We start from the raw sequence: 23874 nt of genomic DNA, 5'->3' as shown, positions 1-23874 counted from the left end.
TTGGTTTTCAGCTCCATCAGCTCCTTTAAGCACTTCTCTGTATTGGTTATTCTAGTTATACATTCTTCTAAATTTTTTTCAAAGTTTTCAACTTCTTTGCCTTTGGTTTGAATGTCCTCCCGTAGCTCAGAGTAATTTGATCATCTGAAGCCTTCTTCTCTCAGCTCGTCAAAGTCATTCTCCGTCCAGCTTTGTTCCGTTGCTGGTGAGGAACTGCGTTCCTTTGGAGGAGGAGAGGCACTCTGCTTTTTAGAGTTTCCAGTTTTTCTGTTCTGTTTTTTCGCCATCTTTGTGGTTTTATCTACTTTTGGTCTCTGATGATGTTGATGTACAGATGGGTTTTTGGTGTGGATGTCCTTTCTGTTTGTTAGTTTTCCTTCTAACAGACAGGACCCTCAGCTGCAGGTCTGTTGGAGTACGCTGCCGTGTGAAGTGTCAGTGTGCCCCTGCTGGGGGGTGCCTCCCAGTTAGGTTGCTCGGGGATCAGGGGTCAGGGACTCACTTGAGGAGGCAGTCTGCCCATTCTTAGATCTCCAGCTGCATACTGGGAGAGCCACTGCTCTCTTCAAAGCTGTCAGACAGGGACATTTAAGTCTGCAGAGGTTACTGCTGTCTTTTTGTTTGTCTGTGCCCTGCCCCCAGAGGTGGAGCCTACAGAGGCAGGCAGGCCTCCTTGAGCTGTGGTGGGCTCCACCCAGTTCGAGCTTCCCAGCTGCTTTGTTTACCTAAGCAAGCCTGGGCAATGGTGGGCGCCCTTCCCCCAGCCTCGCTGCCGCCTTGCAGTTTGATCTCAGACTGCTGTGCTAGCAATCAGTGAGACTCCGTGGGCATAGGACCCTCCGAGCCAGGTGCGGGATATAATCTCGTGGTGCGCCGTTTTTTAAGCCCGTCGGAAAAGCGCAGTATTTGGGTGGGAGTGACCCGATTTTCCAGGTGCCGTCTGTCACCCCTTTCTTTGACTAGGAAAGGGAACTCCCTGACCCCTTGCGCTTCCTGAGTGAGGCAATGCCTCACCCTGCTTCAGCTTGTGCATGGTGCGCACACCCACTGACCTGCGCCCACTGTCTGGCACTCCCCAGTGAGATGAGCCTGGTACCTCAGATGGAAATGCAGAAATCACCCGTCTTCTGCGTCACTCACGCTGGGAGCTGTAGACCGGAGCTGTTCCTATTCGGCCATCTTGGCTCCTCCCCAGCTATAACGTCTTAAAAGAGTTTACTGAATAGGCTTACTGGCTGATTGGATTTAACAGAAAATTTAAAAAAAAAATCAGTGAACTTTAAGGTAAGACAATAGAAACTCTCTAAACTGAATTACAGAGAGAATGAAGACTGGAAAAATAATACAGAGCTTTAGTGACCTGTAGGATGATATAAGCCAATTTAACATGCATTTAATTGAAATCCCAGAAACAAGGTGTGAAAGGGGAGGAGGGAACTAAGAAAACTTGTGATCATGATGGCTTTAAATTTTCCAGATCCAAGAAGTCTACACACTAAAGAAGGAGAAATACAAACCATACCATTGCACATCATAATCAAATTGCTAAAAATCAACAATAAAGAGAAAATTTTAAGAGCAGTGAAAGAAAATGGCACACTCTATAGAGAGGAGCGGAGATAAGAATTACTGCAGACTTCTCATCAGAGGCAATCCAGATCAGAAAGCAAAGAATAACATCTTGAATCTGCTGAAATAAAAGAAGTCAGAAGGCAGCACAGTTCAGTTGTGGTGCTACATAGCATCAGGCATCTGAGCACTTTATCTGTTATTGATTCACCACTGTCAGCACAATGCTTCCACCGCAGTGCAAGGTGCCTACTCAGGCTTCAGCTAACACATCCACGTTCCAGTCTGAAGAAAAGAGAGAGGAAAAATGGCATATTCCCTTTCTTTTAGAGTACTTCCTTTAAGTAGCACACATATATTGAGAGGAACTTAGTTACACAGCCACACCCAAAGACAACAGAGTCTGGGAAATATAGTCTTAATTCCAGTGGCCATATAACCAAATAAAAATCTGGGGTTCCATTACTAAAAAAGTTGGGGAGAATGGATATTAGAGAAAACTAGCAATTTTTGTCATGAATATGAACACATTCAATTAATGTTAATTCTTTTTTTGATGCTGCTGATAACAACGTATGTAACCTTGAGCATCAACAAATCCTCAAAGATAAAATGAAGGAATTAGAATAGATTACCTATAAGCATCCTTCTAGTTCTGACCAGCTTTGTGCCTACCTTGTTGCTGGCATAAGGGGCCATATAGTAAGTATTCTTCCACTAGACAAGGAGTGAACAAGCTATGGCCTACAGACCAAATCTGGCTTGCCACCTGTTTTTGGAAATAGTTTTATAGGAAGACAGTCACATTCACTTAGTTGCACATTGCCTATGGCTGTTTTCATGTATGGTAGAGTTGAGTTCTTGTGAGAGTGGTTATATGGCCAAACAGCCTAAAATACTTATACTGTCTGGCCCTTTACAAATAAAGTTTGCCAATTTCTACATTAGACAAATAAATGAATTCATGTGACCAAGCAATTTAAGAAAACATGGCTTTTAGCAAAGCGTGTCTTTCTTCTCTTCTGTTCATTTCTTCTTTAGTGTATTTTCTATAATTTGAAAATGAATACAGTATGGCCTTAATTTCTGAGGATTTCAAAAGAAACACATGCAGATACTCTGCCAAAGAAATAAATGATGAAGTGTTTTCTTAATTCTTGAAAAAAATCTTTCATCTGCCCTTGAAATATCAGGTTTTAAACACAGTAAGCTTTCTCCCCAGAAATTATCCTATTAAAAAAAAATTGTTTTGGAACATATCCCAAAAAAGTGAGCATATAGAGGATAAAATCTTGGCAAAAATGCTCATTATAGTTCTGCATTTGTGGAACATGTTCTCACATCAAGGAAAAGGATTATAGCCCAGGCAAACTCAGAAAGAAGAGTAAGCCAGGCAGTGTCTGTCTGGGACTCAGTCTAAGGAAAACCATTCACTAAAAGGACTGGTCCCTGAAGCAGGTAACAAGAAGTTTAAATTATATGGAATTCTTTAAAAGGTGGCAAATCTGGGGCTGCTCCATGACAGCTGAGGCATGGCAGCCAAAATGCCTATCAGCACTGATGTCCAGGGTTGTTCGTATGGTTTATAGAGGACCTGTTTCAGTGGATTCTCAGGTAATGATGGACAGGGACCACCATTCTGGGCAAGGTTCTGGAAAATACCAGTCAATGTGTCCTCTCAACAAGTGACTGGAGCAATAATTAGGAACCATGAAAGAAGCTCAATCCTTGATACAAGGCCAAAAGGCATGCAGTTGGTGTGGGTTACTTGTTAATGACTACACAGCAACCTGCATTGACCCTCAGGAGCACCCAGTAGTAGAAGGGACTCATTCTCTGGAGTCAGATAGACCTGCGTTCAAACACCAGCTTATCTCTCCCAACCTGTGAGGCGTAAAGCAATGCATTTGTCCTCTCTGAGCCTCAGTTTCCTCATTTGTAGATTGAAAATATTAGCTGCCCTGAAAGATTGTTGACACTTCTTTAGAGTGAGTGCTCAATAAGTGGTAGGTGCTGCTATCATCACCACCACCACCACCACCACCATCACCGTCATCATTATTTGGCAGTCAAGGTGCCTGGCCTAACTGGCAAGGTTAACCCCCCTGGTAGGTCAGCTATTGACTAGAAATAGCTTGGGAGCTACGGGCTGAGCCAGAATGCTGTAGATGTCGGTGTCGGTAGAAAAGTGGCACTAAAGAAGGCAGAACCTGAGGAATATGGTAGTAAGATTTCAGTGGCTCCTGAGCTCTCCAGAAAGACTGGCTGAGCCCTGGGAACAAGTGTCCACAGTAGTGAGTGGACAGAGAGGCAGGCAGGTTAGGGAATGCTATTGGCAGTCCCCTGTCCCAACTCATTTCCGCTGACAAAGGGAGAAATGCAATCGCCTCCCTCATTCTCATTTTCTAAATTTACATGCATGGTGTCCAAGGCTCCACCTCACGCCCTTTCTGGATTCTTCAGACAGGTCACCTCTGCCCTCAGATGTCATTATGCCTTTCTTCCTCACTTCATTCAAGTCTCTGTTCAAATCATATTTTTTTCCGAGAGGCCAACTGTGACTTAAAATGGGACATCCATCCTCCAGCCCTCACTCTGCCTGCTTAGCTTGCTTAGCCCTCATCATTTCCTGACATAGTATACATTTGTTTATTGTCTATGTCAACCTATTAGAAAGCAAACTCCATGAGGCTGGAGACTCTCCTTTGTTATCTAATTTCTCTGCACCTAGAAATGTACCTGAAATATAGTAGACAGGCAATAAATATCCATCACATTAAATATTTCTTGACCAAATATATCCCACCTGCCTCCAGAATAAGAAGTAGTTTTAATTTTTTTTTTTTTTAAAAAAAAGCCAATTGACAGATAGTAGAAAAACAAATATCTTTAAAAGAAGTAATGATGGAAAAAGAAGGGAAATAATTATCCTAGAAAACTTAAGGTATGGACACTATTACAGTTGAAAGCCTATCATAGTTCTGTATTATCTTGACAGTTGAGGCCAAAGGAGTAAAGGAAAAGCAATGATAATCAAAGAAGACTTCTTTTTCCAGAAAAAAATACATCTTAAGTCACTGATTTTCAAACTTTTCAATAGTGAAAACTTTTTATCCATAACAACACCATACCAAGCGCCCCAACAACAAAAAAAGTCTATTTAGCTCCAATGTATTTTTTAAGTTCAAAATGTAGCATTGACTTATTAAGTCAAAGAGAACAATGAGGTTGTGAAGCTACAACCTTAAATCAAACTCAGCATTCATTTGATTTTCCTGCACTGTGTGGCTTTGCCAGTCTTGAGAATGTCCTTATTTGCACAGATAAGTAGCTGCAAATGGCACATTTTTCATAGCTTGCCTCACGATCTCCGGCTGCCCCTCAAATCAACTGATCCACAAACTTCAAAGAGGAGCCAAAGGAAAGTTTCTTTTCAAAGTTCAATCACTGATGACCTCCAACGACACCTGTATATATTTTTCACATGAATATGAAGTACAGAAAAGGATCACCCAAAAGTTCCAGTGAAAACAAAAAGATTCCTAATTCAATAATAGCACACAACAAAACATTTGAAATGTGCTTGCTATTTTTACTCTGCTGTCCATTTTGTTATTACAGGAGAATGCCAAGAACAGAGGCACCCGGGTTTTGCTAGGAATAGATCACACAACTCTCTTCAGCACACCCCATGCGATAGGGGTGAACCAACTCACATGGGCAACATGCACAAGCCTGACTTTTAAAAACAAAAAATTCAGGGATATAACTGCCTGATCAATGACATGTGTGCAAGAACTTTGGAATATGCACTAAAAGACTCTGCAGACCAGGAAGCCAGCCCTTCATCCTTCACATGTGCTGCACGCCTGTGTGTATGCGTGTGGCTACCCTCACATATATCTTCTAATATTTATTTTTAGGGTTTAAATATTTGATTAAGCTGGAATTTATTTCCACAAAAGGAATGAGGGAAAGGTCCAGCTTTACTTTTGTCCTAATAACTAGGCATTTGTCCCAGCAATATTTATTGAAAATTTTATTTCTTTTTAACTGCCATCTTTGATCATTTATGAAGACTGGATGCATTGGCTCACACTTGTAATCCTAGCACTTTGAGATGCCAAGGCAAAAGGATCACTTGAGCTCAGGAGTTCAAGACAAGCCTGAGCAATGTAGCAAGACTCCCTCTCTACAAAAAATAAAAAAGTTAGCCAGGCATGGTGGTGCATACCTGTAGTAACAGCTACTCACGTTGCTGAGGTGAGCCTTGATGGTGCCACTGAACTCCAGCCTGTGTGACAAAACTAGACCCTGTCTCAAAAAAAAAAAAAAAAACCAACAAAACAAAAAAACATATGTTTAGGTTCTTTTTTTTTTCTTGTTATATAAGAAAACACAAAACTTCAAATTCAAATCAGGCACTTGTGGAACCCTGCAGCATCTCTGTGGAATACTGAGGTTTTTAAGTTAGTCGTATGTTAGTACACTTAATTGAGCTTCAGGCTGAGCTATAGCAGAGCCCTCAATACTCAGCAATCAAGCATACTATGGAATCTGAAGTATTCCATACTCCCCAGTACGGGGATCCCAGTCACAGAGTCCCAGTCAGAGGGTCAGCCAGATGCTATTGGAACATTTTTAGGACAAGACACTCACCACCTAATATTATTGTCTGTTTTAAAGTTGGTTAGTGTTGATGGTTAGAAAATTCTTTGATCTATTCCCTTAAACTTCTACCAATTGATCTCATTCCATTATCTACAAACCACACAGAACAGCCTTAATTCCTTTCTCATATGACCATCTACTTGAAGACAGAAACCACATCTCTCCTTGGCCTTCTCTGATTCATGCTTTTAATATCCAGTTCTTTCAAGGGATGCTGGGAAATCCAAATGGACAGGGGCAGAACTTGTAAAATTAGGTGTTTGTGGTAGAGAGTCCTAAATTTAGGGTTAAAATAGCACTTTGAGTCCCAGCTGTGCAACTCTGAACTAATCATTCAAAATCCCTGAACCTCAGTTTTCTTACCTATAAAGTGGGTATGATAATCATTAATATGATTACTATCAACATGAAAGAGATTCAATACTGACAACGGTGGAATTGACAGCATCACAAGACTTTGCCATAGAGGGAATAAAAGGTGAGAAGAGATCTTTCTCTCTTCTGCCCATCCCTACAATCTCCAGATTCTTACTGCTCTAACTTTATACCTAAGTAATATTTTTTACTTTCCTGAGATAGAGAGGGAAAAAATCATGCACAGACAGAGTTTCATCGCTGTGTCTGGGGGTAGATTTATTTCCCATCTACACAGGACAATGTTTGCAACAAAATAAAAATGCATTTTCTTCTCACTGCCATTGGTCCAAGTTTCCTATCTCACATCCTAGAACTGATGCCAAATACTGGTCACAATGATCAGGGCTGAAAAGAAGGTAGCCTTCATCCTTCTAGGGTTTGGTTGTTTAACCCTGGGCAAGGGAACAGCCTGGTAGAACAAGTCCAGACAAAATGCGCATGTTTTCCTGCTGGCTTCTTTAAAGGAAAGCATAATTTTACTCACACGTGTAAGGAAATAGACACAGATTGCTTTATTGGGTTTACTGCCTTGTTTGCAAACAAGACGGTTCGTAAACTTAGTGAGTGCCATTAAGGTTTCAGAGGAGGAAGCTGTACCCTGAAGTTACCTGAGGTTCCTGAAAGTACTTCACGTGCACATCATATTTTGAGAGACTCAGCCAGCTTGAACGGTGCAGTAGGTGTTTCCCGGTACTCAGTGGCTTATGAATATTTAAAGGTAATAAATGTCACGTTAAGTGTTTAACGATCTTGTTTACATGTAAAAGCCCTTGAGAAGGGTCTGTTAAAGTGAAACTGATACCAATTTCAAAATGTCTTTATTCTTTTTTTCTTTGGGGACAAGAAAATGTCCTTTAATACAGTAGGGATTTGCGGGATGCTGAATCCCAAATTTTAAAAGTAGTATGAGTAGGTGTTAGGATTTGTTCTGTAGCATTTTAGTGGTTTTCAAAAAGATTTCTTTCCACTAATACAAAGACAAAACTTTAGAAGGAAACTTCACCCCACTTCAACACTTGCCAGTTTTCTAGAATTGATCTACTTACAGAAAAAAAAGAATCCAATTTGTGGTGAAGAAACCTTGGGTTTTAGCTTGGATAGAACTGGGTTTAAACTCTGTCTTTGGGCCTTATTTCTAGGTAATCTAGGGCAAATCCTTCAACCTCTTTGAGCCTCAGTCCTCATTATCTGTAACTTACCTCATTGATCAGCTGTGAGGTTCAAATGGTATACATTGAATTAGCTAGATTAAAAAGTAACTGACACACAGATGTTGCCTCCATGCTTGTTGTAAAATTATAATTACTAAATATTCACTGTGCAACCTGCTTTGTACATGAAGACTAAAACTCCAGCAAATGAGACAATCAACAAAATGTACAGCACTCCAGACATTCAATAAAATATGTTCCTATAGCTTCCACATGAGAATATAGGTGAAAGTTATCAAGTTCCATCAATTTAACTAGTTAATGGGTTGCCATCAACAATGCTCATATCAGCCCGAGTTAAGAAGTCACTGTTGTAGAGGAAAGAACACTGAGCTTGGAGTCCAACAACGTGATCTGAAGTTCTCTGCCATTATCTGAGTGAACTTCCCTGTGAAACTGCTCCTCTCTGAGCTCCAGAGCTCGTTGCCCTTCTATGTACCAGGAGTGAGGATAACACCTAGCCATTAATGTTGACATATGAATCAAATGAGAAGCTTGCATAAGCTGGGATGTCTTCTTGTTTTAGTTTATCGATTGCTGCACAAAAAATCACCACCCGACTTATTGGCTTGAAGCAACAAGGTTTATTATCTCATAGTTTCTGTGGCTTAATGAAGTCCTCTGTCTCAGGGTCTCTCACAGGCCGTAACAAAGCAAAGGGGATTTACACATAGGGTGAAAAACAGAGGGCAAGGATCATTGAGAGCCATCTGAGAAGCTGCCTCCCACAGTCACCCAGATCTGAAGGTTATCATTTACATCACATTATGAGCATGCCTGTTTTCCTCCGTAAAAACTTTGGCCTGAACTCTTGTTGGTCTTATAGGCCAAACCATTCAGTTACACTCTTATTTTACTGCAGCTTGGTCTACAAAAGCCTTACAATAAGAATACATACTATACAGTGGAAATGAGTGCATGATAAAATATAAAGTAATCTGTAACATATATAAAGGCTAAAAGTCAAAAATTGGGGCTGGAGGAAGAACACAAATATAAATGCTAAATGAATCTATAAAGATCTCTCAGATCTGGCTGTGAGCTTCTTGGCAGCCAAAACCAAAATAGAGACCCAGTTAGTTATATAGTTCTAGTCATCTGAGAAAGAAACAGAATCGTTTCTCAAGAGACAGAAAGTATATATTTCCTAGCAGCTTATACGTTTTTTTAAAAAATCCTTATGAGGTGCACCAAGCGATGTAGTGAATAATGACTTTAACAGCTTCCTTGCAAAAATGCAGAAAACAGTTTTGTAAGGCAATTTTTGTATCATTTCTCAATAAAAGCCTACAGCATAGCTGCCAAATGCAAAGGAAATAAGATATAAATGCAAAGCTTTTTAATGGTTTGATTTGATCCAGAAACAGAACCAAGAATGCCTGTGATGTCAGATAGGTCTTATCTTTAATACCAAGCCCAGATCATCAGTAGTGACCGCCCAAGGCACTGTAGTGAGGATCAGGAGCCCTTATCTGAGCCCAACAGGAAAGAGTATGGCAATCAATTAGTGATGTCTGACATGGGTGCAGGGATGCGGAGGGATGGCACAGGCTCTTTGTGTACTGACCCTGGTCTGGGGCAGAAATCCTCAAATTTATTTTGACCAGAGGACACTAATGTCAGTCACAACTCACTATATCCCAACTAAATATCTTATCTCTATCTCTTTCCTATATTGAAAAAGAACTCAAAAATAACAAAGAATTAAGACAGCAAAAATAACAACAAAAACAGAACAAAGCATTACTTAGACAATAACCAAACAATCAATGTGAATAAAATTTAACAGAAATTCCCACATACTGTATTTCACCAAATCTAAAATGACACCAATATAAGCCTCACCACAATTACCACCAAATTCATGCTTGTATGTACATTATTAAAGAAAAAAATCTCCACCAATTAAACTGTGGCACAATGCTTCTTTAAGATCTGTGCATTTTAGAAGAAATAAGGCATATTTTGATTGGTAAAAGAATATCAGCAATTAAAAATTATACCTAATTCAAGATGGCATGGACATGCTCTGTTGACAAAAGGGTGCTGTGTTTCTGAAACATTACTGGGCCTCCCTCTACTTGTGTGTGTACATACTGTGTGCTCAGTGCTGAAAGGATAAGCCTCTCAACATCTTGTCTTATTTATTCTTCCATGTAATCATTCAATTAATACCTACTATGTTCTTGGTCTGGTTCCAGGTTTAGTCTAAAGAGTATGTTACAGATATAAGGGAGCTGGAGACTAAACCCAGATACTCTTATATTTGAAGCCCCAAATTCCATCTTCTTCTAAGTTTGGTTGGTTTTGTCTCCCTTTCTAGGAGACTTTCTCCCTTTCTTGTAGGCTTTTATTGAGAAATGGTCAATAAAGTTGTGACCATTATTATTCACAACTTTCTAAATAGGCTTTTTAAAGACAAAGAACTTTTGTATAATTGCCTCAAAAACAGATGCAGATGTCTTAATTTAGAGACAAAGTGAAAGTTTTAATATAGGTGCCTAGTCCTTAAGTAAGTAAATAAGCAAAGGTGCTGCTTTTTCAGTCTCTGAATTCTCTGCAAGTTGTGATTAATCAAAGGGATGTGCCTCCACTGAGCACGTTAATTAGTTGAACATTTAACATGGAGACCTCACAGCAAGGGAGCTGCCTGCCCTGTGCCCCACTGTGCCTGACTCAGGCCTGCCTGGGGTTGCAGGGAATGAGTTCCTCTGCACAGTCAAGAATCCCCACCAATCCAAATAAGGCACCCTGATCAAGCAGTGTTCCCTACAAAGGAGTTGGATGCTGGGGCCTGCAAATGCAGAGATAAGAGCCAGTTCTAATAATCCTGGGAGTGTTCCCTAAAATACTTCTGCATTTGACACTCTCCCAGGTATATACATTTTTCCTCCCATGTTTTAAAAGTCCAAGCCAAGAAACTGCAGTCTCTGAAGGTGACCTCCACAGAAAATGATGACCAAGAGAAGCAATTCAGCTCCACCAGCTCTCTCTGGTCCTTATGCTCTGGTAGGCACCATGGCAGGTCCTCAGAGGGACCCAGGAATGGTGTTACAGAGTGTCTTCCCTAAGGAAGTACGTGATCTAACAGAGAAGTCAGACAAGTGACCAAGAGGAGAAAAAAGGAATTACTGCAAATTACAGTTTACATTAACAGTAGCCACTTTTGCTTTCTAATTGGGTGGATCCCAATTTTATTTATTTATGTCAGGATTATCTCATTTCTAAATTTCTTCTTTGCCCTTGCTGAAATAGGAGGAGAGGCATGAACCCAAATTCCAAAGTCCTTGCCAACTTTTTGTTTCTGCTACATGATTAGCCTGGAGTAAATGGCCCATTGTTTAACAGAGCATATTATTGAATCTTTGGGCAAGACTGGGAAAGGTGAGTCTTTCAAGGTGGGAGAGGGGGAGAGGAGAGGAGAGGAGAGCTGAAGGGAGCAAAGCCACCTGAAGGAATAAACCCTTTCATCACTTCCAACCTGCAAAGTTTGCTATACTCACAAATGCCTTGTGAGCAATGATTTAAGGGAAAATCAAGTGAAAGGAGGTTCTGTTCTCCATCTGGAGATTAGAGAAAGAACCAATTAATGATGAGATGATGGTAAACCTAAAGTATCTGAGACAGGTCTCAATTAATTTAGAAAGTTTATTTTGCCAAGGTTAAGGACATGGCTGTGACACAACCTTAGGAGGTCCTGATGAGATGTGCCCAAAGTGGTGGGGGTACAGCTGGTTTTATACACTTCAGGGAGACATGAGACATCAATCAATACATGAAAGATGTACACTGGTTTGGTCTGGTAAGGTGGGACAACTTGAAGCAGGGGCTTCCAAGTCATAGGTAGATTTAAAGATTTTTCTCATTGGCATTTGGTGGAAAGAGTTATTATCTAAAGACCTAGGATCAAATAGAAAGGAATGTCTGCATTACGATAAGGAATTGTGGAGACCAAGGTTTTATTATTCAGATGAAACCTCCAGGTAGCAGGCTTCAGAGAGAATAGATTGTGAATGTTTCTTATCAGACTTAAAAAGTCTGTTCTATCAGACTTAAGGTCTCTATGTTGATGTTTATGACGCATATCTGACCCCCACTTCCCATCATAGCTTGAACTAGTTTGTCAGGATAATTTGGAATGCCCCCAGCCAAGGGGAGGGTCCCTCAGTCAGGGGGCTTAGAATTTTATTTTTGGTTTACGTGATCTATTCACTGAACTTATTAAGCAGAAACAGAACCTTGGCAGCAGAAAAGACTGAGAAATCCACATTCTCTCTTCTGTCTGTCACACACACACTTAAAGTCATCAGGGAGCTGGAAGGGATATGGGGCTGCCATTGCCATGGATGGGGCTCGAGCCAACTTATTTTGAATGTCAAAGACAGAGAACGGCAACTGGCTCTTGGGTTATGTATAAAATCAACTAGAATGTAGACCAGAGTGAAGTGTGTGCTAAAGAAAAAGGCACACAACATACTTCGGTTTTTTGTTTATTTGTTTGTTTGTTTGTTTGTGTTTAGAGACAGGGTCTTGCTTTGTCACCCAGGCTGGAGTGCAGTGGTACAATCATAGCTCACTACAACCTCAAACTCCTGGGCTCAAGCCATCTACTTGTCCCCCTACCCCAAAAAATGGGACTACAGGCATGTGCCACCATGCCAGGCTAAATTCAACATGCTAAATACAACTTGCTAGCAGAAGCCCTTCACTCATCCTAGACCATGAGATGTGTGGACGGGGCAGTTAGGCCTTTAACCAAGACACCTACTGGCCAGTTTTTGGCAATTCTCTCCCTTCAGAGAAATGGGGAACATTCAACTAGTGAAGTTCATGGTTCAGAATTCAGGCTCCAAATTCAAAGTCCCAGTTTGTCAAAGTCAAAGTCCTGTGCCCTGAGCCAAGTTGTTTGAGTCTAAACCTCAGTCAGATGTGGGTGATTATGATTCTGAGCATTAAATGAGATGATGTAACGTGGTTCACAAAGTATTCTGCATAGAGTAAGTAATCCCCGAGGGCTGGTTTTTCTGCAGCACCAGCTGGTCTCCCCAGGGTTAGGCTGAAGATCATTAGCCACAGTTAAATAAGCAACTCCCAGCTGCTGCTCACCTGGAAGACAGGTATAGAGGGTCACCCATGTGAGAAACCACTCCATCACAAATTAGGGTCTGCCCTTGGGCATTTCTATTTGGCCCTAATATTATAAACTACTGTTTGTTTTCTCTGTACAAGGTGTCTTCAGATGTCTGACATACCTTTCCCACACAGGCAGCATGGGAATGGGGTTTTCCTGGAGGGTGACTGTCAGTTGCTTTGAGGAATCTTCAAAGGCAGCCAAGTTAAGTCCATGTCAAGCCTTATATTTTAAGCCAGACCATCCCAAACAAACTGGTCAAACCTCATGCAGGCACTTTAAAGTTATGCAGTAACACTCCCACAGAAATAAATTCAATTCAATTTTTTTTTATTATTACTACCATCATCATAAAAAAATCATCATTATCATCCAAGGTATATTAGCTTCCTAGGGCTACCATAAAGTACTGCAAATTGGGTGAAGCGACAGAAATGTATTCTCTCACAGTTTTGGAAGCTCAGAGTCTGAAATCAAGGTGTTAGCTGTGTCGGTTCTGTTTTGGAGGCTCTGCAGGAGAATCTCTTCCATGCCTCTCTCCTACTGTCTAGAGGTTGCCAGTAATCCTTAGTGTTCTTGGCTTGTAGACATATCACACCAGTCTCTGCCTCCACCTTACATAGTGCTGTCCTCTGTGTTTGTGTGCATCTGAACTTCCCTCTTCTCAAAAGGACACCAGTCATTGGATTATGACCTACCCTAATCCAGTCAGACCTCATCTTAATGAGATTGCATTTTTCAAGGACCCTAATTCCAGATAAGGTCACATACACAGATTTAGGTGGACATGGATTTTGGGGAAACACTATTCAACCCAGAATACAAGGCAATACCTGTTTAGGAAGTTCCAAATGCACAGCAAACATTGAAGACGGTAGTGGTGGACCACTACAAGTCTCTTTGAGATTTTATGACCCACAAAAATTTCCTCTGTGTGACCTGGTATGGGTTTCATAGAGGGAAAAAAACTGAGATCTCAAATTCACACTATAAATAGGGTTCTTATCTAGGACACAGGTCCTTATCTCCAGTCCATTGCATTTTCCTGTACCTCTGCTGCATCTCCCAGTATGAGAGTATGCATTATCATTTATGTTTCAGTGTGTGAATTCAGTCAGGTTTAACACTCTTTCTTGCTTACAAATCGGAATAAAACACTTTGTAACTCATGATTGGCATGAGGATTAAATGAGAAGCTACACAGCCAGAAACATAGTAAGTGCCCAATTAATGTTAGCCAATATGATAACTGCTTTTCCATCTTCAATGTCCTCCAAACTTTATAGCACAGAGCAGAATGCACAAGTAATGATCCATAAAACTGTGGAGTGTGATAACTCAAAATACATTACTGTTCTAACACTGACATTACCAGCAATGCCATCACAATATTTGAGGTTGGGCTCCATTTAATTCAACAGCCACTTACTGAGCAGTTCCTTTGCATCACTCACTAGCCTAGAACTGAAGACAGCTACAAACTGCTACAAAGTGGAATAAGATACAGTCCCTGCCATCAGGGAGCTTGGAATATTCTGGTGTATTGACAGTCACCTGCCATTCAAATCATAGCATGCTGGGTGGTATGGAAGGTAGCAAAGTATGATGCTTTGGCAGAAAAGATAATATGATGGACTCTGCCTACTACAGAGAAGAGTTTTTACAGAGGTGCTATTGGAATGGGGCCTCCAATAGAAGTAGGAATTTGTTGGGTGTAAATAACATCTGAGGCAGAGAAAGTAGCAAAGACGTCATGATATGAAAGTCAGGGTGGATTTGAGTTGTAGTAAAAACAAACACATGGTATATGATAGGAGGAGATGAAGAGATCAATGGGAAATGGAAAGACTCAGCTGAGCCCGTTTGTGAGGCTCCTGCTTGCTGGAGCAAGACAGAGATGATGACAAGACCGTGCATGTCTGACCCCACCTGCATTTCATTTCCACTTCTGCCACTTGCCAGTGGAGTTCTTCACAAAAGTTGCTCAGCTTCTTAAAGACTCAATATCAGCTACAAAATGGGAATTAAAATGTCCTCCACATAGGGTTGCTATGCAGATTTAATAAGAAAATGAAAATAAAGTTTTAAGCCCAGTACAATAAACAGTAACTATTGGTATTTTGTATTGAAATTTCATTTTTGAACAACAATTAATTCCTTGAACAGACATTGATCAGTTACTCGAGGTGCTGATTTTTTTCACCAGGCAATAGAAAATCACGGGAGGTTTCAAGCAAGAAATTAATGTCAGGCCTTGTGCTGCAAGACTACTCCTAAAGGCAGCCAGAGGCTGAAAGCCTGGGAGAAGATGCAGATGTCATCAGGCTAAGACACTGGCAAGGAGGATGGGAAGCTAGGGTGGAGAGACTAGATGACAATGATGTAGAACTGTCAGGACTTGGTGATTGAGTGGATGAAAGGAACATAGCTAGGATGGCCTCCATATTTCTAAACTGGAAGACTAAATGTCATTAATGAAGGCACAAAACTCAAGAGGGAAAGACAGTTTTGGAAGGGAAGGTGATAAGGTCAGTTTTAAGCATCTTGACATGAGGGGGTCCACGGAAGAGCTGGGGATGAAGATGCCCAGCGGGACATTGGCTCTAGAGCTAGTGGCATTGAAGCCATCAGCACATGAGTGGTAGCTCACGCCTTGGCAGGGAAGGTACACACCCATCCTAAGCATACAGAGAGGGAAGAAAGGCAACAGAAACCTCAAATGAGGAAGCCCAACACTTAGGAAGTGCGGAAAAGCCTCTGCAGAGGAAAGGACAATGGTCAAGTCACCTCTGACTCTACCACAGAGTCTGTCTGCCTCTCATTGTATTTTATAGCTGAAAGGACCTACACCTAAGATGTCCTAAAAGTCAACCTCTTCAAAAACAGATAAAGAAACAGACAGGAAATGTGACTCACCTGATATAACACATCACAACAGAGCTGGTGGCAGGACTAGAGCTACAGCCACCTGACCTTCAGTGCAGGGCTCCTTCCACAGCCCTGGCTGCTGTTCTGGCCTTGACGTGACCAGCATGGAGTTCTCTTCAATCTGGGTAGGGACGAAGTGGGCTCACATTCTCCCCTACCCTAAAGCAGCCCCGTTTCTCTCAGTCTGAAGGGATTACCTGGTGATAGCTTCCAGCCAGCTAATGAACCAGCAGTAGTTGTCTGCTGTGACTTCTTAATTTCCCGCAAATGTGAGTTCCCGATACGTGGCCACAGCTTCAGGCAAGACACATCGCACTCCCAGCAAGAAGCCCGGAAACCAGGGGGAGACTGATGGGGATCCTGGTGTGCAATCTGTGACTCCGTACTTGAGTCGAGCCTGGGGTTTATGATTAGAAACCAGAATAAGCAGGATGATCAGTATTTCCTTCTCCTGCATGTAAAGTCAAGACTGTCAGAGAGCCCTGCCTCTCTTAAGATTCCTGAGGGCACTGAGTAGCAGCAAGTGGCCAGCATCCATGAAGGAGTTCACAGGGACTCCCTACTTCGGCCTACGCATTCTCAACCCTGAGGTTGATGGGCCAAAGGAAACATGGATTGGAAACTTAACTGGCCTCAGAGCAAAGCACTGTACTATACTAAGCCGCACTGTACTGTACTAAGCAATCATTGAAGGCTAAATATGTGATCAGACTAAACCTCTGTGACACATCGCAAGTATTTAGTGAATGCTTGAATAAATACAGCACCTCTAGCTCCAATCTCCCTCCTAACTTAAAAATATGATGGTGTATGTGACATCTCTGTTCAAATATCTGAAAGGCATCCATAAATTAATATCTCCAAAAGTGAACTTGTGACTTTTACCCCCTGCCCACAAACCTGGTCCTCCCATAGTCTCCCATCTTGCTGAATGGGAAGCTGTCTCGGTCTAGTGGCTCAGGCCAAAAACATAGGAGCTACCTTTGGTTCCTCTCTTTCTCTCACTCCCCATATCCTCCATCAGTACTTCCTGTTGGTTCTTCCTTCTACACATACCTAGAATCTAACCACCTCTCACCTCCTCCAGCACTGCCAATCTAGTTGGAGCCACCGTCAGCGCTCTCCTGTCCCCAACAAATCTCCCCTGTAACTGGTCGGCCTGGCTTCACTCTCCTGCCACCCAGTCTGCTCTCCATCCAGCAGCCAGAGTGAGCTATCCAAAATCAAAGCAGATAATGACGTTCCCTGTTCCCATCCTCCAAAGTTTCTGCACTGCTGTTCCCTCTGCAAAGAACAAGCTTCAGATATTGAGATGGCTCACTTCCTCCATTCATCTGGGTTTCCCCCTCACAGAGGCCTTCCCCAAATACTCTAACATAGCCTCCCAACACTCTCCATCCCTTTACCCCATTTGATTTTTTTCCTGAGCATTTGTCTCTACCAAATCATATGTATTTATCTGTTCATCATCCCCACCAAAATTTAAGCTCCCCAAGGGCAGGGACTCTTTCTGTTATGTGCACTGCTCTATCATCATCATGTAAGCAGTGAGTCATGCACTGAGTGTTCACTAAATACCTGTTAGAGGAAGAGAGGCACAGAAGGAGGAAGAGAGGGAGAAAATAAGGTAAATAATATGCCATATATGAGGTCATTTAACCCTCACAACAGCTGTGGGAAGAAGGCAAGTCTTGTTCCTACTGTACATTCCCCAACAGAACCTAGCAGAATTGGGCAAGGCACACGTAGTAGGTGCTTTTTTCCTACCTTTTGATTGATTGGTCAATATATAATCAGCAGTTTTCACTCTGCCAATGACCTTTCATGTTAAGAAAACCGTATAGAAATAATATTTCAAAGAGTTATTACTGGATACTTCTTTTTAAGCAATATTATGTTGACTGGTAATCGATAATAATAATTAAGGAATATCACTATTCCTTAATTAATTACTTACCTACAAAAGTTTAGAATTGTAAAAAGTACATTCAGATCATTATCTTGTGATATTCAAAATAACTGTGGGAGGAAAAAGGGGGGAAGACTGGGTTTTTCCTATTTTTTAGTTGAAGTCACTAAGGTTCAGAGAGGTTAAGTGCTTAGGGAAAAGCCCCACAGCAAAGTCATTAATAAAACCTGAATCTGAGTCTAAGCATCCTTATCCCTGCATCATGATTCCATTATGCCGGAAATAACTGTGTGATCACATCAGAGAGCAATATAAAGTCCTCTACAGTATTTTATATACTGCCTCCAAATGCCTTGTTGAGATGGTTTATTGAGAAAGGAGGCTTTAGACCAAACTTGACCTGTTATGCTGGGTGTTAGGAAATGGCTATCTCTAACAACAATGTGACCAGAAGAGAGACACTCACGTGTCACTTTATAAGGACTGATTTTTTTAAACCATTACAGGAGTCAATGCCAAAGATGATTTACTTTCTATTAGTAAAATGGAACCAGAAATTATTTAAAACTGCCATCAATCATGGGATGGAGAGGTCCCTCTACTCCCCCTACCAGAAATGAAGGAGGATTGTTCCTCTGAATTAATGATGTGCATTTCCAACTGTAGCCTGGGCAGAAAGACAGTAACAAGAAATTAATTAATATAATACATGCCCTGTATTGAATGAGACTGTTGCCATTTCTATAGAAGACATCCCTCCTCTTTGGAATATCCCAAGATTATTTAGCAATAACATTCATGAGAGAATCCTGAACAATTCATTTTAGGATTTTAATTGTCAGGAAGGTTACCAAAGTCATGCTTCAACTTACATAGCAACTTGTTTTTTTATTTTGTTAAAACAGGGTGATACAGAATTGTCTCATAGTTTTGAAGTAACCACATGAATATACCATTGCTTTTGAGAATGCATTATTCTTATGTGAAATAGATCTTGCCCTATGCCCTCAACCTCTTTTGTGCTATTGGATGAACTAAATTCATACTGTCTTAGTGTTGAAATTTTGAGCTGCGAGAGCCCTGAGAGAACATCTATTTGAAACTCCTTGGTTTCCAGATGTGAAAGTAGAGACTCTGAGCGGGTGGGGGTTGCCTTGGTTTCCTCTTTTGTCAAAGGTAGACTCCCCTCTCTTCTTTCTTTTCAACTTTTCAGCAATGTGGCAAGGTTCCCACGACATGAAAGAAAAGGACAGGTACTGCAAGAAGCATTCAGACACATTTAAAGCAACAGTCATAACCTGAAATGATCAATATCCACACATACAAAATTACCTTCCCTTCATTGCCCTGGCATTTCAAGACACATAGTCCAAGATGAGAGCAAGAAGGACAGAAAGACAGAGATGCACAATTCTTCCAAGAAGGGGAAATGATGAAATATTGATAACAATCAATTAGAAAACAAGAAACTCTTAGGACAAGAAACAATAAAAGGAAAGGCTGACAGCAAATGATGATGTAGTATTTACTATGCACAAGGCACTGTTCCGAGAACTCAAGAACTTTACATATGTTAATAAGCTCATAGTCCACTAAGGCAGGTTTTATTATCATCTCCATCTAACAAATGAGAAAACTGAGGCTCAGAGATGCAAAATTCCTTGCTCAAGGACACTAAGCTAGAAAGTCAAGGATAGGATTTGAACACACAGCTCTTGGCACTGGCAGTGATATTCTTAACCATGATACTACCTTGTCTTGTTGGTCATTCAGAGCTCAGTTCATCCCATCCTCTGGAAGTAGCCACTGTCACCAGGTGAAGAACCCACTCAGAAAAATGCTAAATGCCCCTGAACACTTTATTTTCACATTTTCTTTTTCTGAACAGGACATGTACAATAGTAGGGTAAACAAATCTAGAGAAAAGAAGAAAATGGGCAGGGCACAGTGGTTCACGCTTGTAATCCCAGCACTTTGGGAGGCCGAGGTGGGCAGATCACCTGAGGTCAGGAGAGTTCAAGACCAGCCTGGCCAACATGATGAAACCCCATCTCTACAAAAATACAGAAATTAGCCAGGCATGATGATGGATGCCTGTAATCCCAGCTACTCAGGAGGCTGAGGCATGAGAATCACTTGAACACGGGAGGTGGAGTTTGCAGTGAGCCAAGATCATGCCATTGCACTCCAGCCTGGGTGACAAAACAAGAGTCTGTCTCAAAAAAAAAAAAAAAAAGGAAGAAGAAAGAAGAAGAAAATGGCCCTGCATTTACTAAGCTTCTACTATGCTTCAAGTGCATCATATATATCCTCACAACACCTTCATCCAACAGATGAGGAAGACAGAGGCTCAGAGAAGTGAATTACCTCTCCCAAGGTCACACAGCTAGGGAGTGACTGGCCATGATTTGTTCTGCCTCTACCTAGCTCTACTATCCTTGCTCTTAACTGCTATGCTATAGATTCTTTGTCTCATTTTTATGCTGAGTTTATCAATTATGTGTCACATGTATAGGGCACTGTTCAGGGCACAAGAGCAGCTACAGAACTGCCCTTTAGAAAGGTACACTGGGCTGGGCACAGGTCAGCTGAGATCCCAGAATGACACTTGGTTGTCTTGGGCTACCCATGAGGCCATCCATGCCCTGGGGTAATTTCTGCTGCATCACACTCCTCTATGAACAGCATGCAAAGCTGTAATTGTCCAGTTAAGCCTTGTTTGAGACCTAAACTCCTCGTGGGGTAGACCATTCTTCTTATACAACTCTCCCCACTTCTCCCCCCAGCCACAGGGAAAATTACAATTATTAATCTCCATGAAGAGAAATATCAGACTTGGATTCCCTTACCACGGATCACCATTATTCACACTTTAAATATTTGGTAGAGCTAAAATGATGAGTATAGAAATAAGTTGCCGGGAAAGGGAAGGGCCAGGACTGTTGGGTACTGTTTTCTCCTGGCTAGGGAGCCACCATTGAAATACTTACCCAACTGTTGCTTTGCAGATTCAAGATTTAATGTGGGCTTGACTCTAGCATATTCTAGAAAGAGGGTGATTCTGTGCAATGGGCCTTTGTGGTGGTATGCCTTTGCCCACATGTCCTTCCACCCAACCACTTTTTCCCACTTTCCCATCCTGGTAAGCTATACCAGGCTCTTCAAGGACAAGCTCCAGATCCACTTTGTGAGACTTTCAGCCACAGAGCATACCAAGTGTATGTTCTAGGGAATTCTGTGTAACTCTTCTGGAGTCCTGGTTTAAGCATTGGTTTCCCCAACGTCCAGGACCTCCCTGAGGGTAAGAACCTACTCTTCCTCTCTGTGCTGGAGGGGCTCAGTCCTGGATGGCACAGGCAGCACCCTTACAGCCAAAGACATTTAAGGTATAATGATCAGCTTGGAAAAAAAAATCAGCAAAGGACAACAGAATGAGATCAAAGAGGTTGTTTTTAGGTCATAGGCCTAACTCTGCCTGGTAAGCCACATATCTTACATTCTTGACTGAGGAACTTTTGAGACACATGGTGCAACAGAAACATTTATCCTTCACCAGACTGGGCACAGTGCAAATAGAGGGAAAGTCATCCGAATTGACTTGAGCAAACCTGATAATGGCAGTAAGTTCTCAGGTGACCCATGGCATGCCTTGGTCACTGTGCTTCTCAAATCAGGAGCCATTTATCTAGGGGAGACGAGCTCACAACCTTTCTCTGTGCCTGTTTCCTCCTTCATAAGATGAGAAATGGCAATCACACTCACACACACACTCATACATACACACTAAGACATACGCATATGCTCACTCACAGTCCCACACACCCACACACGCACACACTCACACGTATACACACTCATCCACACACATCCAAACACCACACAGAATTGATGCCAAGCTTTAATATGATACCATCCAAAAAAAAACATTTTCATGAATGGCAAAACTAAAGCTCCAGGAGGCTCAAACTAGTATTCACCAAGTATCCCGCTGACTAAGGCATTGTCTAAGTGTTGCCACTTATAATATCTCATTCCATTTCCTGTCAGGTCTATGAGGTTGATTTCTTTTTCTACGCATCTTCCAGAAGTGGAAAAGAGGCTCACTTGTAAAGCCAGGAAGCCACAATTTTTAATCTAGACCTTGTGTCTCAACAGAACATTTTCGCTCACACTGCAATGCTTCCAGTGGGAGTATTTCCACTTCAGAATGTTTCCTAGAAGTCTGGAGGAGCAAGCGTACCACAGGCCAAGCTCCTGCCACCTAAAAGACCCTAGTCAGGAGACCACAGTGCAGAGGGAGAACCAGACACACAGTCCTGAAAGGCCCTAGAACATGAGGGTTAAGTCTGTAGCCTCTCAACTCCCTTCTACCTCTTACCAACTGGGCAGCTTCTGAAGAGTCTGAAGTGTCCCCATCTGTACATGAAGAAAATAACAGTATGCACCTCCAAGGATCTGGCGAGAATTAAATGAGACAATCCATTCAGTTTAGCAGTTTACCATTTGGCATATGGTGAATGCTAATATCAACTCTCATTAACAATGTTAACTATCGTTTGCTTAGACTACAAGGTCATCCATGAAAAAGGAATTGAGACCCACCGTGTACAATGTGAGGCAGCTATCTGAAGCCTGGACATCATACGATTTGACGGGAAGGGGGCAAAAATTGAATAAACCCCTAATATGAGTTCATTGCATACCTTAGTCAGGGTCCACTTCATTATGTGTTTGGCTTTGGTTTTATTTATCATATTTGGTTTGTCTGGGGGCTTCGGATCTCCATCTGAAATATTGTATTCAGTCAGGGTTGTTCATAGGGATGGTGGGGTGTGATTGGGTGTTAGATGAAAGTGCCAAAAAAGGGCAAAAAAAATTAACATTAGAAAATGCTTTCAAGTATTCAAGTCTATATTGCAGATTTATAGCCAATAGCTCATTTGACCCTCAGAGCAATGCATGCAGCTAGGCAAGAAAAGTAACTTTATACACAGTTTACATATAAAGAAATTGGTACTTTGAGGAATAAGGTGAAAAGAGAAGGAAACTGGGACTTATTGAGCAAATATTAGATAGTATAATTTATTCAACAAATCATATGTTAGTGGCCACGTGAGCTAGGCACCAGAGATACTGTCCACTGTCTGCAGGGAGCTGATCACGCTACACTTCCTACACTCAGGGAACCTGTTACCCAGTCTGATAGGGAAGCACAGAAGGAAGATAAGTCATTCAATACAAGGAACTGAGAACTTTGATAAATAGATAAATAACATACATCAGAGTAATCAAGGAGGCTTCACAGAGAAGGTGACAGATACATTCTTGTAAAGCTTGGCCAGGTGAAGAACCAAGAAGAAGGAAGAGGCTTCTGGACGCGGTGGCTCATGCCTGTAATCCCAGCACTTTGGGAGGTGGATGTCGGCGGATCACTTGAGGTCAGGCATTCAACAGCATCCTGGCCAACAACATAGTGAAACCCCATCTCTACTAAAAATACGAAAATTAGTGGGCATAGTGGTATGCACCTGTAATTTCAGCTACTTGGGAGGCTGAAGCATGAGAATCACTTGAACCCGGGAGGTGGAGGTTACAGTGAGCTGAGATCACGCCACTGCACTCCAGCCTGCGTGATGCAATGAGACTCTATCTAAAAAAAAAAAAAAAGGAAGAGGCTTTCCAAGCTTATGAAGAGCAAAAACTGCAGTCACCCTGTGGCATGAAGATTGGAACCAGCTCTGAGTCCTTGAAGTTTAGGGCAAGAAGTAGGGCAGGTAGACCATGACATGGACAAGTGGAGGGATTCACACTTCCATCACTTACAGCCCCATGAGTTATCCTCAAGAGATAAGATGTGTTCCTGTAGATGATGGGGTGCATTAGATCATTCTAGCAGCTGTATGGTGGTTGTAAAAGAAGCAAGGAAAATAATTAAGGCTGAAGGCAGAGACGCCAGTGTGGAGGCTGATGCAGTGGTCCAGGGGAGAGCAGATGAAAGTCTGAACCAGTGTGGTAGCAGTCAAGATGGAGACAAAGAA

The 23874-nt window shown here is 41.8% G+C and overlaps 1 annotated feature.

Moving 5' to 3' along the window:
* Nucleotides 785-1984: an enhancer, noted in NCBI's record as "BRD4-independent group 4 enhancer chr11:79262907-79264106 (GRCh37/hg19 assembly coordinates)". NCBI's record gives its function as "activates an origin of replication core promoter dependent on BRD2, P300/CBP, MED14 and CDK7 cofactors, and independent of BRD4, by STARR-seq in HCT116 cells {active_cell/tissue: HCT116}" and the evidence as "EXISTENCE:reporter gene assay evidence [ECO:0000049][PMID:35650434]".

Source organism: Homo sapiens, chromosome 11 (assembly GCF_000001405.40).
Source record: "Homo sapiens chromosome 11, GRCh38.p14 Primary Assembly".
NCBI classification, from domain to species: Eukaryota; Metazoa; Chordata; class Mammalia; order Primates; family Hominidae; genus Homo; species Homo sapiens.
This window is presented reverse-complemented; position numbering and strand designations above follow the sequence as displayed.